The following is a 14,439-nucleotide window of genomic DNA, read 5'->3' on the forward strand; positions in this document are numbered from 1 at the left end:
GCGCAGTGGCTCACGCCTGTAATCCCAACACTTTGGGAGGCCGAGGCGGGCAGATCACCTGAGGTCAGGAGTTCGAGACCAGCTTGACCAACATGGTGAAAGTCCGTCTCTACTAAAAATACAAAAAATTAGCTGGGCCTGGTGGCAAATGCCAGTAATCCCAGCTACTTGGGAGGCTGAGGCAGGAGAATCACTTGAACTGGGGAGGTGGAGATTGCAGTGAGCCAAGATCGTGCTATTGCACTCCAGCCTGGGTGACAGAGTGAGACTCTGTCTCAAAAAAAAAAGGCAATCTCTCCCTGTCTCTCTCAGGCTCACCTTCCTGCCTCCTCTCGTGAGGGCCCTATGAGGACACTGGGCCTCCATGTCACCCAGGATGTTCTCCTGTCTCACGGTCCATTACTCAGTCCCATCTGCAGGTGCTTCTGCCACGAGAGGTGACACGGCCACAGGTCCCGGGGATTAGGAAAGGGATGTCTTTGGGGCCATTGTTCTGCCCACCAGAGGATCTCGACATCCCCCTTCTCCGTGACTCTTCAGTCACCTCTGCTCAGGGCCGGCCAGGACTGTTGCACAGGCTGTGCCCTGCACAAGCCCCCTGCCAAGACCAAAGGGCAAGGCTCTGTGTGCGGCCAGGGTCCCCGTCTTCAGTGTCCCTGGCCCTGGCTGTGGCCTGTTGCCAGACACCGCGTCACCAAGGGGTGCATTATTCCCACATCATCCCAGTTGGACGGTCACCTCACCCTGCCCATCGTCCTGCCAGCAAGATGGTCCCACAGCGGCCTCAGTTCTCAGAGGCTCGGCAGGGTCTCCCCTGACCCCGTAATGCCCCTCACTGCCCCTGGGCGCTGGGTTCAAGAAGAACCGCCTGCTTCGTTGCAGGAAGTGATGTCCACCCCCAACTCTGGATCGGAAGCCACGATCTATCCTCCAGACCCAACACCAGGTCCCCAGCCCTTTATCTCTCCTGTCTGTCTGTCCATTTCTGGTGTTCAGGCCTCTCTCTCCACGTCTATCTCCCTGTTTCTGTCCCTCCTGACCTCTCTCTTTTTCCATGATTTTTGCTTTCCTCCCTCCCCGTCTCATCCTAAATTTGTTTTTTTGTATTTTGTTTTTTTTTTGAGACGAAGTCTCGCTCTGTCGCCCAGGCTGGAGTGCAGTGACGCCATCTCAGCTCACTGCAAGCTCCGCCTCCCGGGTTCAAGGGATTCTCCCACCTCAGCCTCCCGAGTAGCTGGGATTACAGGTGCCCGCCACCACGCCCGGCTAATTTTTGTATTTTTAGTAGAGACGGGGTTTCTCCATGTTGGGCAGGCTGGTCTCAAACCCCTGACCTCAGGTGATCCGCCCGCCTCGGCCTCCCAAATTACTGGGATTATGGGCGTGAGCCACCACGCCCGGCCCTCATCCTAAATTCTTAAAACCTGCTCTCCTCTCAGCCATGATTTTCTTTGTCCTGTGCCATAAAGAATTCTCAGAAGCAGGATGCAGCTTCTGCTGCTCAAGGGTGAGCCCAGCCAGTGGGATCTGGTGTCGCTGCCCGCAGACCCCTCAGTCAAGAGCGGGGTGGGGGGCAGCAGGAGCTACAGTAACAGCCCGGATGGTCCTGCTCCTGAAGGCACCCCACCCTGCTGTCCAGAGGAGAGACCGAGGCTCAGACATTTGAGCCCCACATAACCCAGCCTGCCACACACCGCAGACTCCAACAGTGTAGCCCCTGTACCCCAGAAGTCACTTCAGCAAATCACTCAGGGCTCCACCTCACATCTGTCCCCAAGTCCTTGGGGACTTGCTCACTCAGCAGAAGACCAAGAGAAGCCAGATGCAGTGGCTCACACCTGTAATCCCAACACTTTGGGAGGCTGAAGCGGGCGGATCACCTGAGGTCAGGAGTTTGAGACCAGCCTGGCCAACATGGTGAAACCCCGTCTCTACTAAAAATACAAAAAATAGTCAGGTGTGGTGGTGGGCGCCTGTAATCCCAGCTACCCGGGAGGCCGAGGCAGGAGAATCCTTTGAACCCAGGAGGTGGAGGTTGCACTGAGCCAAGATTGTGCCACTGCACTCCGGCCTGGGCGACAGAACAAGGCTCCGTCCTAAAGAATTAATTAATTAATTTAAAAATAAAAAGAAAATGTGCACTTTCATCTTGTATTATTCTGTCCTTTTGTTTGTTTGAGATAAAGTTTCGCTCCATTTGCCCAGGCTGGAGTGCGTGATCTCGGCTCACCGAAACCTCTGCCTCCTGAATTCCAGTGATTCTCCTGCCTCAGCCTCTCGAGTAGCTGGGATTACAGGCCCACGCCCCCACCATACCCAGCTAATTTTGTACTTTTAGTAGAGACAGGGTTTCTCCATATTGGCCAGGCTGGTCTCGAACTCCTGACTCCAGGTGATCCACTTGCCTCAGCCTCCCAAAGTGCTGGGATTACAGGCGTGAGCCACCTCGCCCGGCCTATTCTGTCCTGTTTTTTTAAGATTTAGTTTGCCGGGCACAGTCACTCACACCTGTAATCCCACCATTTTGGGAGGCCGAGGCGGGCGGATCACAAGGTCAGGAGATCGAGACCAGCCTGGCCAATGTGGTGAAACCCTGTCTCTACTAAAAATACAAAAATTAGCCGGGCGCAGTGGTGCGCACCTGTAATCCCAATTACTCGGGAGGCTGAGGCAGGAGAATCGCTTGAACCCGAGAGGCGGAGGTTGCAGTGAGCCAAGATCGCGCCACGGCACTCCAGCCTGGGCGACAGAGCAAGACTGTGCTCAAAAAAAAAGATTTAGTTTAATTCCTGTAATGAGTCAGCCCCTTGGAAAATCAGACAGAATTCTGCCTGCTGAGCAGACACATTCCAGAAGTTACTCTGTGAGAGGTTTAGACGAATTCCTAGTGAAATTTCCAGGGGCGGGAGAGCGTGTCTGGAAGGTCTGCGGACATCACAGCAATCACAGAGGCCTTTGGGGCGGGCAAAACTGTCCGCTGGCGCTCGCTGCTAGCAGGAGGGAGTTCATATTCTTTCCTGGTTTCCTCCTGGCTCAGTGTATCATGATATGCCAGGGAAAGGAGGAGAATTCTCTTTTTTGTTTGTTTGGTTTTTTGAGACAGAGTCTCACGCTGTTGCCCAGGCTGGAGTGCAGCGGCGCAATCTCAGCTCACCACAACCTCTGCCTCCTGGGTTCAAGCGATTCTCCTGCCTCAACCCCCGGAGTAACTGGGATTACAGGCACCCACCACCACGCCTGGCTAATTTTTGTATTTTTAGTAGAGACGGGGTTTCTCCATGTTGGGCAGGATGGTCTGGAACTCCAGACCTCAGATGATCCACCCGCCTCAGCCTCCCAAAGTGCTGGGGTTACAGGCGTGAGACACTGCACCTGGCCTCAACTCCATTTTAATTAACCCTGCAGGGGCCAGGCATGGTAGCTCATGCCTGTAATCCTGGCATTTTGGGAAGCTGAGGCAGGAGGTGGATCACCTGAGGTCAGGAGTTTGAGACCAGCGTGACCAACATGGTGAAACCCTGTCTCTAGGAAATACAAAAAATTAGCTGGGCGTGGTGGCAGGTGTCTGTAATCCCAGCTACTCGGGAGGCTGAGGCAGGAGAATCACTTGAACCCAGGAGGCAAAGATCGTGGTAAGCCGAGATCGCACCATTGCACTCCAGGCTGGGCAACAAGAGCGAGACTCCATCTCAAAAAATAAAAATAAATAAATAAAAAATAAATAAAAATAAAAAAAATTAGCCAGGCGTGGTAGCGCGTGCCTAGTCCCAGCTACTCAGGAGGCTGAGACACGAGAATCACTTAAACCCGGGAGATGGAGGTTGCAGTGAGCTGAGATCGCGCCACTACACTCCGGCCTGGGCAACAGAGCAAGACTTCGTCTCAAAAATAAATAAATAAATAAATAAATAAAATAAAGAGATTTAGGAGAGGACACAAGCAAACATAACTCAGACTGACTTTGGCAAAACTAGGCTTTATGGGTTCCCGTAACTGAAACATCAATGTAGGGCCAGCTTCAGGCTCAGCTGGTTCCAGGTGCCACACAGCATCCTCAGGTTCCTTCGGTGTTGGGAGCTCAGGCTCCAAGCCCAGGACAGATTCCCAGCTCTGCCACATGCCCCTGAGGGACCCTGGGCAAGGCCTACCCCTCTCCCAGCCTCAGTGTCCTTATCTGTAAGTGAAGTCGCCACATTGACATCCCTGCCCTGGGGGACGTCATGAGGGTCACCGGGCACCTGGTGAAAATCAGTGAGGAATAAGAATGAATGTTGAGGCCAGGTGCGGTGGCTCACGCCTGTAATCCCAGCACTCTGGGAGGCCGAGGCGGGCGGATCACGAGGTCAGGAGATCAAGACCATCCTGGCTAACATGGTGAAACTCCGTCTCTACTAAAAATACAAACAATTAGCCGGGCGTGGTGGTGGGCGCCTGTAATCCCAGCTACTCGGGAGGCTGACGCAGGAGAGTGGGGTGAACCCAGGAGGTGGAGCTTGCAGTGAGCCGAGATCGCGCCACTGCACTCCAGCCTGGGCGACAGAGCGAGACTCCGTCTCAAAAAAAAAAAAAAAAAAAAAAAAGAATGAATGTTGGTTCTGACCAAGTAAATTAACGAATTGTCACCAGACAATGACTTCCATGTGACTTTCTGGTGTGAGCCGGAGAGGAGCCGATGCACGCTGCCACCAGAGGGCGGCAAACACCAAGGATGCAGCCGCGGCCCTCGCCCCGCCAGGGAGAAAACGCACCTGCCGCCACTCTCACCTTCTCATTCCCGTAACCGGATGGTGTTTGCTTAGTGCTCCTTGAAAGCCTGGACAGGGCCGGGCGCGGTGGCTCACGCCTGTAATCCCAGCACTTCGGGAGGCCAAGACGGGTGGATCACTTGAGGTCAGGAGTTCAAGACCAGCCTGGCCAACGTGGCAAAACCCCGTCTCTACTTAAAAAAAAAAAAAAAAATAGCCGGGTGTGATGGCGTTCACCTGTAATCCCAGCTACTCAGGAAGCTGAGGCAGGAGAATTGCTTGAACCTGGGAGGTGGAGGTTGCAGTGAGCTGAGATTGAGCCATTGCACTCCAGCCTGGGTGACAGAGGAAGACTCCATCTAAAAAAAAAAATTATTTGTAGAGATGACAGAGTGAGACTCCATCTAAAAAAAAATTATTTGTAGAGATGGGGTTCTCACCATGTTTCCCAAGCTGGTCTTGAACTCCTCAAGTGATCCTCCTGCCTCATCCCCACAAAGTGCTGGGATTACTGGTGTGAGCCATCGAGCCCAGCCCTGACCAACTATTTAGAGGTTGAAAACAGAGCCCGCAGGGCCGGGCGCGGTGGCTCACACCTGTAATCCCAGCACTTTGGGAGGCCGAGGCCCTCGGATCACGAGGTCAGGAGATTGAGACCATCCTGGCTAACAAGGTGAAACCCTGTCTCTACTAAAAATACAAAAAAATTAGCCGGGTGTGGTGGGGGGCACCTGTAGTCCCAGCTACTCAGGAGGCTGAGGCAGGAGAATCACTTGAACCTGGGAGGAGGCGGAGCTTGCAGTGAGCCGAGATCGAGCCACTGCACTCCAGCCTGGGCGACAGAGTGAGACTCCGTCTCAAAAATAAAAATAAAAATAAATAAATAAAATTAGCCGGAAGTGGCCGAGTGCGGTGGCTCTTCCACAGCAGCCAGAGGGCGCCTGTGAGGCTGACTGGGGGTGTCCCTGCTCTGCCCACAGCCCTCCATGGCTCCCATTTCCCTCTGGGTAGAAGCCCAAGTCCTCCGTGCAGCCCACAAGGCTCTGCCCAGTCCCCTCTCTCCTCTCCCTCCTCTGTCTACTCTCCCTCCTCCCTGTCTCCCCCTCCTCCTCTGCCCAGTCCCCTCTCTCCTCTCCCTCCTCCCTCTCTCCTCTCCCTCCTCCCTCCCTATCTCCCCCTCCTCCTCTACCCAGTCCCCTCTCTCCTCTCCCTCCTCCCTATCTCCCCCTCCTCCTCTACCCAGTCCCCTCTCTCCTCTCCCTCCTCCCTTTCTCCCCCTCCTCCTCTACCCAGTCCCCTCTCTCCTCTCCCTCCTCCCTGTCTCCCCCTCCTCCTCTGCCCAGTCCCCTCTCCTCTCCTTCCTCCCTGTCTCCCCCTCCCTCCTCCCTGTCTCCCCCTCCTCCTCTGCCCAGTCCCCTCTCTCCTCTCCCTCCTCCCTGTCTCTCCCTCCTCCTCTGCCCAGTCCCCTCTCCTCTCCTTCCTCCCTGTCTCCCCCTCCCTCCTCCCTGTCTCCCCCTCCTCCTCTGCCCAGTCCCCTCTCTCCTCTCCCTCTTCCCTGTCTCCCCCTCTGCCCAGTCCCCTCTCTCCTCTCCCTCCTCCCTGTCTCCCCCTCCTCTGCCCAGTCCCCTCTCTACTCTCCCTCCTCCCTGTCTCCCCCCTTCCTCTGCTCCAGCCACACGGGCCTCCTCCCTGTTCCTCCAACTTGCCAGGCGGGGTCCTGCCCCAGGGCCTTTGCCTCCCCAGGTGAGGTCCGGCCCCAGGGCCTTTGCACGGCCATGTCCTCTGCCTGGTTTCCCTTCCCTAGGTACCCACTGGGTTCATTTCTTCACTTCTTTCAAGGCTTTGGTGAACGCTCCCCTCATCACACAGCTGTTGCTCAGTAAATATGGCAGAATAAATAGCTGGGCAGGGCTCAGTGGCTCATGCCTGTGATCCTAGCACTTCTGGAGGCTGAGGCAGGAGGCTCACTTGAGCTCAGGAGTTGGAGACTAGCCTGGCCAACGTAGAGAGACTCCATCTCTACTTAGGGTGACCAGGGGAGAGAACAAAATCATGGGCTCATTTTTTTTTTTTTTTTGAAATGGAGTCTTGCTCTGTCGCACAGGCTAGAGTGCAGTGGTGAGATCTCGGCTCACTGCAACCTCCACCTCCTGGGTTCAAGCAATTCTCCTGCTTCAGCCTCCTGAGTAGCTGGGATTACAGGCACATGCCACCACACCCGGCTAATTTTGTATTTTTAGTAGAGACAGAGTTTCGCCATGTTGGCCAGGGTGGTCTCGAACTCCTGACTGCAGGTGATCTGCCCGCCTCACCCTCCCAAAGTGCTGGGATTACAGGTGTGAGTCACTGCACCCAGCAAAAAATGTTTATTATTCCCATTTCACAGACCAGCAAACTGAGGCCCAGAGGGAGCCGCCTGAGGAAACTGGATTGCGCAGCTGATGGAGTCTCAACCAGAGAAGGGGCCCGTGGGGCCTAGATTCAGACTTCCGGCTGTGCAGGCAAGCAGGAGGGCCCCCCAGTCAGGGTCCCCAGGACACCAACCCCAAGCCAAATGAGGCCACCAGAGGCTGTGCCCAGCCCCAGTCCCGCACGGGGCAGGTGTGGAGCAAATGCTGGCGGGATAGAGGGATGGAGAAGGGGGCTGCCTGGGAGTGAGGGGCTGGGTGCCCCACCCACCTGGCCTCAGCCTCCTGCCCTATCCGAGAACAGAGCTCTGGTTTCCTGCCCGGCAGCCCGTGAGGAGCAGCGAGGCATGGCCAGCTGGGGGCCGGACAGTCCTGAAGAGCTTGAGGACTGGCTCCTGGCTCCTAAAGCATAGCGCCGGCTCTGGGGATCTGCCAGGGAGAGACCAGCTCCAGGGCCCCTGGATGCAGGTTAGAGCTCAGGCTGTCCCCTGATGGCCTCGGTGCTATGGGTGAGTTTCTCCACCTCTCTGTGCTCAGCCTCTCACCGGAGAGGGGGTGGGTGATCCTGGCCTGAGTAGGTGACCAAGGCATCCTCCTCTGTGGCTGGTATTTCCCAACACCCTCAATAAATTCACAGGTGGCTCAGGCCTGTAATCCCAGCACTTTGGGAGGCCAAGGCAGGCAGATCACCTGAGGTGAGCAGTTTGAGACCAGCCTGGCCAACATGGTGAAACCTTGTCTCTACTAAAAATACAAAAATTAGGGCCGGGTGCCATGGCACATGCCTGTAGTCCCAGCTACTCGGGAGGCTGAGGCAGGAGAATCGCTTGAACCCGGGAGGCGGAGGTTGCAGTGAGCCAAGATTGTACCACTTCACTCCAGCCTCAGCAATAAGAGCAAAACTCCATCTCAAAACAAAATAAAAAATAAGGGCGCAGTGGCTCATGCCTGTAATCCCAACACTTTGGGAGGCCAAGGCAGGCGGATCACAAGGTCAGGAGATTGAGACCATCCTGACCAACATGGTGAAACCTCGTCTCTACTAAAATACAAAAAATTAGCTGGGCATGGTGACGGGCGCCTGTAATCCCAGCTACTCAGGAGGCTGAGGCAGGGGAATCGCTTGAACCTGGGAGGCAGAGGTTGCAGTGAGCCGAGATCCTGCCACTGCACTCCAGCCTGGGTGACAGAGCGAGACTCCATCTCAAAAAAAAAAAAAAAAACAAAAACAAATTGGTTTGTTTATTTTCCTGTTGATTTGTGGGAGTTCTTTATATATTCTGGACCTGAGTCCTTGATTACATTATGCACTGCTAGCTAGTACCTTCTCCCAGTCTGGCACTTTCCTTTTGAGTCTTCTTCTTTTTTTTTTTTTTTTTTTTTTTTTCTGAGGCGCCTGCCACCACACCCGGCTAATTTTTGTATTTTTAGTAGATACGGGGTTTCACCATGTTGGCCAGGCTGGTCTTGAACTCCTGACCTCATGATCCACCCGCCTCGGCCTCCCAAAGTGCTGGGATTACAGGCATGAGCCACAGTGCCTGGCCCCTTTTGAGTCTCTTAATGGTGTCTTTGGACAAACTCATTTGTTCAAAATAAAATGCAATTTTTTTTTTTTTAGATGGAGTCTCACTCTATCACCCAGGTTAGAATGCAGTGGGACAATCTCTCCCAGGCTCAAGCGTCTCTTCTGCCTCGGCCTCCTGAGTAGCTGGGATTACAGGTGGGTGCCACCACGCCCAGCTAATTTTGTGTATGTTTAGTAGAGACCAGGTTTCACCATGTTGGCCAGGCTGGTCTTGAACTCCTAACTTCGAGATCCGCCTGCCTTGGCATCCCAAAGTTCTGGGATTACAGGCATGAGCCACTGTGCCTGGCCATGTTAGGATATTTCTTTTTTTCTTTTCTTTTCTTTTCTTTTTTTTTTTTTTTGAGAGTCTCGCTCTGTCACCCAGGCTGGAGTGCAGCGGAGCCATCTCGGCTCACTACAAGCTCCGCCTCCCAGGTTCATGCCATCTCCTGCCTCAGCCTCCCAAGTAGCTGGAATTACAGGTGCCCACCACCACGCCCAGCTAATTTTTTGTATTTTTAGTAGAGACGGGGTTTCACCGTGTTACCCAGGATGGTCTTGATCTCCTGACCTCATGATCCGCCCGCCTTGGTCCCCTAAAGTGCTGGGATTACAGGCGTGAGCCACCGCGCCCGGCCCATGTTAGGATATTTCTGAGCAAATCTGAGGGTTTGGCCTGGAACCCTCAATTTGAGGTTGCAAACCCTGTTTCCTGCTAAGCCAGACAGATGGTGCTGGAGATGGGGAGGCCATGGTTTATGTTTTGTCCACTCTGGGTGCTGCCTGGACAGGTGACTCATGCATGTGGCGGAGCAGTCCAGAGTGAGGACTGTACCCCTACAGACACTCCCCCAGACCATGCTGGTGGCCTGAGCTGGGGGCTGCCCAAGTCCCCTCCCCGGGATCCACTTCTGGGGCCTCCCAAGCCTTCCCTGGGGTCAGTGAGTGCTGGAAGGGCAGCCAGCAGTGTGTGTCCACGGGGGGGGGCGGGTCACCACTTATCTGGGCATTAAATATTTGGGGGGGTCTCAAAATAATGGAAAACAGGGGGCCAGAAGTGGTGGCTCATGCCTGTAATCCCAACACTTTGGGAGGCCGCAGTGGGAAGATCGCCTGAGGTAAGGAGTTCAAGATCAGCCTGGGAAACATAGCAAAACCCTGTAATGAAAAACCCAAAAATTAGCCCGGCGTGGTGGCAGGTGCCTGTGATCCCAGCTACTCGGGAGGCCGAGGCGGGAGGACTGTTTGAGCCCAGGAGGTTGAGGCTGCAGTGAGCTATGATTGCACCACTGCTCTCCAGCCTGGACAACAGAACGACCCACTTTCTCAAATAAATAAATAAATAAATACGCTGAGGCCAGGCGCGGTGGCTCACGCCTGTCATCCCAGCACTTTGGGAGGCCGAGGTGGGCGGATCACGAGGTCAGGAGATTGAGACCATCCTGGCTAACATGGTGAAACCCCCGTCTCTACTAAAAATACAAAAATTAGCCAGGCGTGGTTGCGGGCACCTGTAGTCCCAGCTACTCGGGAGGCTGAGGCTGGAGAATCTCTTGAACCCGGGAGGCTAAGGTTGCAGTGAGCCCGAGATCACACCACTGCACTCCAGCCTGGGTGACAGAGTGAGACTCTGCCTCAAAATAAATAAATAAATAAATATTAAAATAAATAGGGCCGGGCACGGTGGCTCACACCTGTAATCCCGGCACTTTGGGAGGCTGAGGCAGGTGGATCACGAGGTCAGGAGATCGAGACCATCCTGGCTAACATGGTGAAACCCCGTCTCTACTAAAAATACAAAAAATTAGCCAGGCGTGGTGGCGGGCGCCTGTAGTCCCAGCTACTCGGGAGGCTGAGGCAGGAGAATGGTGTGAACCCGGGAGGCGGAGCTTGCAGTGAGCCGAGATCGCGCCACTGCCCTGCAGCCTGGGGGACACAGCGAGACTCCGTCTCAAAATAAATAAATAAATAAATAAATAAATAAAAATAAAATAAAATAAAATAAATTAATTAATTAAAATAGAGATGAGATCTGCCTCTGCCGCCCAGGCTGGAGTGCAGTGGCGTGATCATAGCTCACCGCAGCTTCCAACTCCCGGGCTCCAGCAATCACAGGACAAACCTCCCGCCCGGCCCTGCAGCCAGGTGCTCACACCAGCCCTATTTATAACAGGAATCCATGGAAATTTCTGGCCCCACCAAGCTGCTGTCATGAATAAGTCATCGTCCGGATCAATGATTCCACCCAGGGAGCATCTGCAAGTTTCCACCTCGTTCTCCCTGGGCCCCGGACAGCCTGGCTGGGACGTCAGAGCTACCAGTCAGGCTGCGGAAACAGCCTGGGGGTTCCTCTGTGACCAAACCATTCCACGCCGTGGTCTCTACCCAGAGAAAGGAAAACACAGGTCCATACGCGTGTTCGAGGCGGCATGATTCATAACGAACAAAAGGAGAAGACAGGCCGGGCGCAGTGCTTCATGCCTGTGATCCCAGCACTTTGGGAGGCCGAGGCGGGTGGATCACGAGGTCAGGAGATCGAGACCAGCCTGGCCAACATGGTCAAACCCCATCTCTACTAAAAATACAAAAGTTAGCCGGGCATGGTGGCAGGTGCCTGTAATCCCAGCTACTCGGGAGGCTGAAGCAGGAGAATTGCTCTAGCCAGAAGGGTGGAGGTTGCAGTGAGCCAAGATTGTGCTGCTGCACTCAGCCTGGGAGTCAGAGCGAGCAAGACTCCGTCTTTAAAAAAAAAAAAAAAAAGAAAAATTCAGCCGGGCGCGGTGGCTCACACCTGTAATCCCAGCACTTTGGGAGGCTGAGGCGGGTGGATCACAAGGTCAGGAGTTCGAGACCATCCTGGCTAACACGGTGAAACCCCGTCTCTACTAAAAATACAAAAACTTAGCCAGTCGTGGTGGCGGGTGCCTGTAGTCCCAGCTACTCGGGAGGCTGAGGCAGGAGAATGGCGTGAACCCAGGAGGCAGAGTTTGCAGTGAGCTGAGATTGCACCACTGCACTCCAGCCTGGGCAACAGAGCGAGACTCTGTCTCAAAAAAGTAAAAAAAAAATAAAATAGATGTATATAAAATATATAAATAAATATATATAAATATATATATAAATATATTTTTTCTTTTTTTTTTGGATGGAGTTTTGCTCTTGTAGCCCAGGCTGGGTGCAATGGCGTGATCTCGGCTCACTGCAACCTCTGTCTCTCGGGTTCAAGCAATTCTCCTGCCTCAGCCTCCCAAGTAGCTGGGACTACAGGCGCCCGCCACCACACCCAGCTAATTTTTATATTTTTAGTAGAGACGGGGTTTCACCGTGTTAGCCAGGATGGTCTCGATCTTCTGACCTTGTGATCCACCCTCCTCGACCTCCCAAAGTGCTGGGATTACAGGCGTGAGCCACCGCGCCCGGCCTATTTTTTAAAAGATTATGGATTTAGGGCACCTCCTCCCTTCTCCTTTTAGCCCCAGATAACATTCCATTCTCGATGTTTATCTGCTCGCCTGCCGAAGGACGTTTTGGTGGCTTCCAGGGCTGGGCTGTTATGAATAGCAGAGCTGCAGGCCGGGGGCGGTGGCTCACGCCTGTAATCCCAGCAGTTCAGGAGGCCAAGGTGGGAGGGTTGCTTGAGGCCAGGCAATCGAGACCAGCTTGGGCAACACAGCAAGACCCCAATCTCTAAAAAACATACAAAAATTAGCCAGGCATGATGGTGCACACCTGTGGTCCCAATGGTTCCAGCCACTCAGGAGGCTGAGGTGGGAGAATCACTTGAGCCCAGGAGGTCGAGGCTGCAGTGGGCTATGACTGCACCATTGCACCTCAGCCTGGACAGGAGGACAAGACCTTGTCTCAAAAAAAAATTTTTTTTTTGAGAGGGAGTCTCACTCTGTCACCCAGGGTAGAGTGCAATGGTGAGATCTCGGCTCACTGCAACCTCCACCTCCCGGGTTCAAGCGATCCTCCTGCTTCAGCCTCCAGGGTATCTGGGATTACAGGCGCCTGCCACCACGCCCAGCTAATTTTTGTATTTTTAGTAGAGATAGGGTTTTGCCATGTTGGCCAGGCTGGTCTCAAACTCCTGACCTCAAGTGATCTGCCTGCCTCAGCCTCTCAAAGTGCCGGGATTACAGGCGTGAGCCACCATGCCCAGCCAAAAAAAAATTTTTTTTTTAAATAATAAAATAGAGGCTGGGAGTGGTGGCTCACGCCTGTAATCCCAGCACTTTGGGATCACCTGAGGTCAAGAGTTCGAGACCATCCTGGCCAACATGGCAAAACCCTGTCTCTGCTAAAAACACAAAAATTAGCTGGGCGTGGTGGCTTGTGCCTGTAATCTCAGCTACTTGGGAGGCTGAGGCAGGAGAAGCGCTTGAACCCAGGAGCCGGAGGTTGCAGTGAGTCGAGATTGTGCCACTGTGCTCCAGCCTGGGCAACAGAGCGAGAGTTCGAATCAAAACAAACAAAAAAAGCCACAGGCGGCCACACATAGACCGTCACTGACCTCCTGGAGCTTCTCTTCTCAGGGAAAGGAACTTCCAGACTCAGAAAACTGGGGCAGGAAACATCCAGGCCAGTTTTTCCAGCCCACCGGATCTCAGGCAGCTTCCAGGAGGATTGCCTGAACTCGCTGAAATTGCCCAATTCCCTCCTGGGCACATGGTTTTCAGATGATGAACACACACCCTGCACCGGGGCTGAGGCCTCACCCTGGCGTTTGAATCCTGGGCCCCGGGTTTAGTCCACAGGAGGAGAAGCCACACTGGCTGCTGGGAGGGAATGGGAAGCGGGCAGCCGCCGTGGAAAACATGGATCAGTGCTTCAGAAAGCCAGACAGCGGCGCCGTCTAACCCCACCGTGCGGCTCCGAGGAATCCACCCCAGATAACCGAACACAGCGGCTCTCAATAAACATGTTCACAGCAGCATGAGCCACGGGAGCCAGGGGTGGACGGAAACAGTGGCACGAGCCACAGGAGCCAGGCGTGGAAGGAAACAGTGGCACGAGTTACGAGAGCCAAGCGTGGAAGGAAACAGCAGCATGATTCACGGGAGCCAGGCATGGACGGAGTCCACAGGAGCCAGGCGTGGAAGGAAACAGTGGCACGATTCACGGGAGCCAGGCGTGGATGGAAACGGAGAGGAGCAGAGAGCAAGGCTCTGACGCCAGCCACAGCGCAGATGCACCCTGAGGATGTAGGGCTCAGACGGATGCCCGACACGAAAGGCCACACAGCGTGTGATCCCATTTCCATGAAATGTCCAGGGCCAGGCGTGGTGGCTCACGCCTGTGATCCCAGCACTTTGGGAGGCCGAGCCGGCGGATCACGAGGTCAGGAGATCGAGACCATCCTGGCTAACATGGCAAAACCCCGTCCCTACTAAAAATACAAAAATTAGCCGGGTGTGGTGGCGGGCGCCTGTAGTCGCAGCTACTCAGGAGGCTGAGGCAGGAGAATGGTGTGAACCCAGGAGGCGCAGCTTGCAGTGAGCCGAGATCGCGCCACTGGATTCTAGCCTGGGCGACAGAGCGAGACTCCATCTCAGAAAAAAAAAAAAGAAAAGAAAAGAAAAAGGAAAAACAGAATTAAGCATTGTAGTGAATAATTCAGTGGGATTTGGTGCCTTCACGGTGCTGTGCTGCTGTCACCTCTAATTCCAGGATATTCCCATCATCCTTTGTGGTTGGGGCATCATCTGTCACTCCC

The 14,439-nt window shown here is 54.2% G+C and overlaps 2 annotated features.

The window, feature by feature from the left end:
* Positions 12,985-13,699: an enhancer, noted in NCBI's record as "H3K27ac-H3K4me1 hESC enhancer chr19:778723-779437 (GRCh37/hg19 assembly coordinates)". NCBI's record gives its function as "activates a minimal SCP1, AML or CMV promoter by ChIP-STARR-seq in naive H9 embryonic stem cells {active_cell/tissue: H9 hESC(naive)}" and the evidence as "EXISTENCE:reporter gene assay evidence [ECO:0000049][PMID:30033119]".
* Positions 13,271-13,565: a silencer, noted in NCBI's record as "tiled region #14223; K562 Repressive non-DNase unmatched - State 23:Low". NCBI's record gives its function as "represses a minimal TATA promoter and a strong SV40 promoter by Sharpr-MPRA in K562 cells {active_cell/tissue: K562}" and the evidence as "EXISTENCE:reporter gene assay evidence [ECO:0000049][PMID:27701403]".

The sequence above is a fragment of the Homo sapiens genome, chromosome 19 (assembly GCF_000001405.40).
Source record: "Homo sapiens chromosome 19, GRCh38.p14 Primary Assembly".
In the NCBI taxonomy this organism is placed as follows: domain Eukaryota; kingdom Metazoa; phylum Chordata; class Mammalia; order Primates; family Hominidae; genus Homo; species Homo sapiens.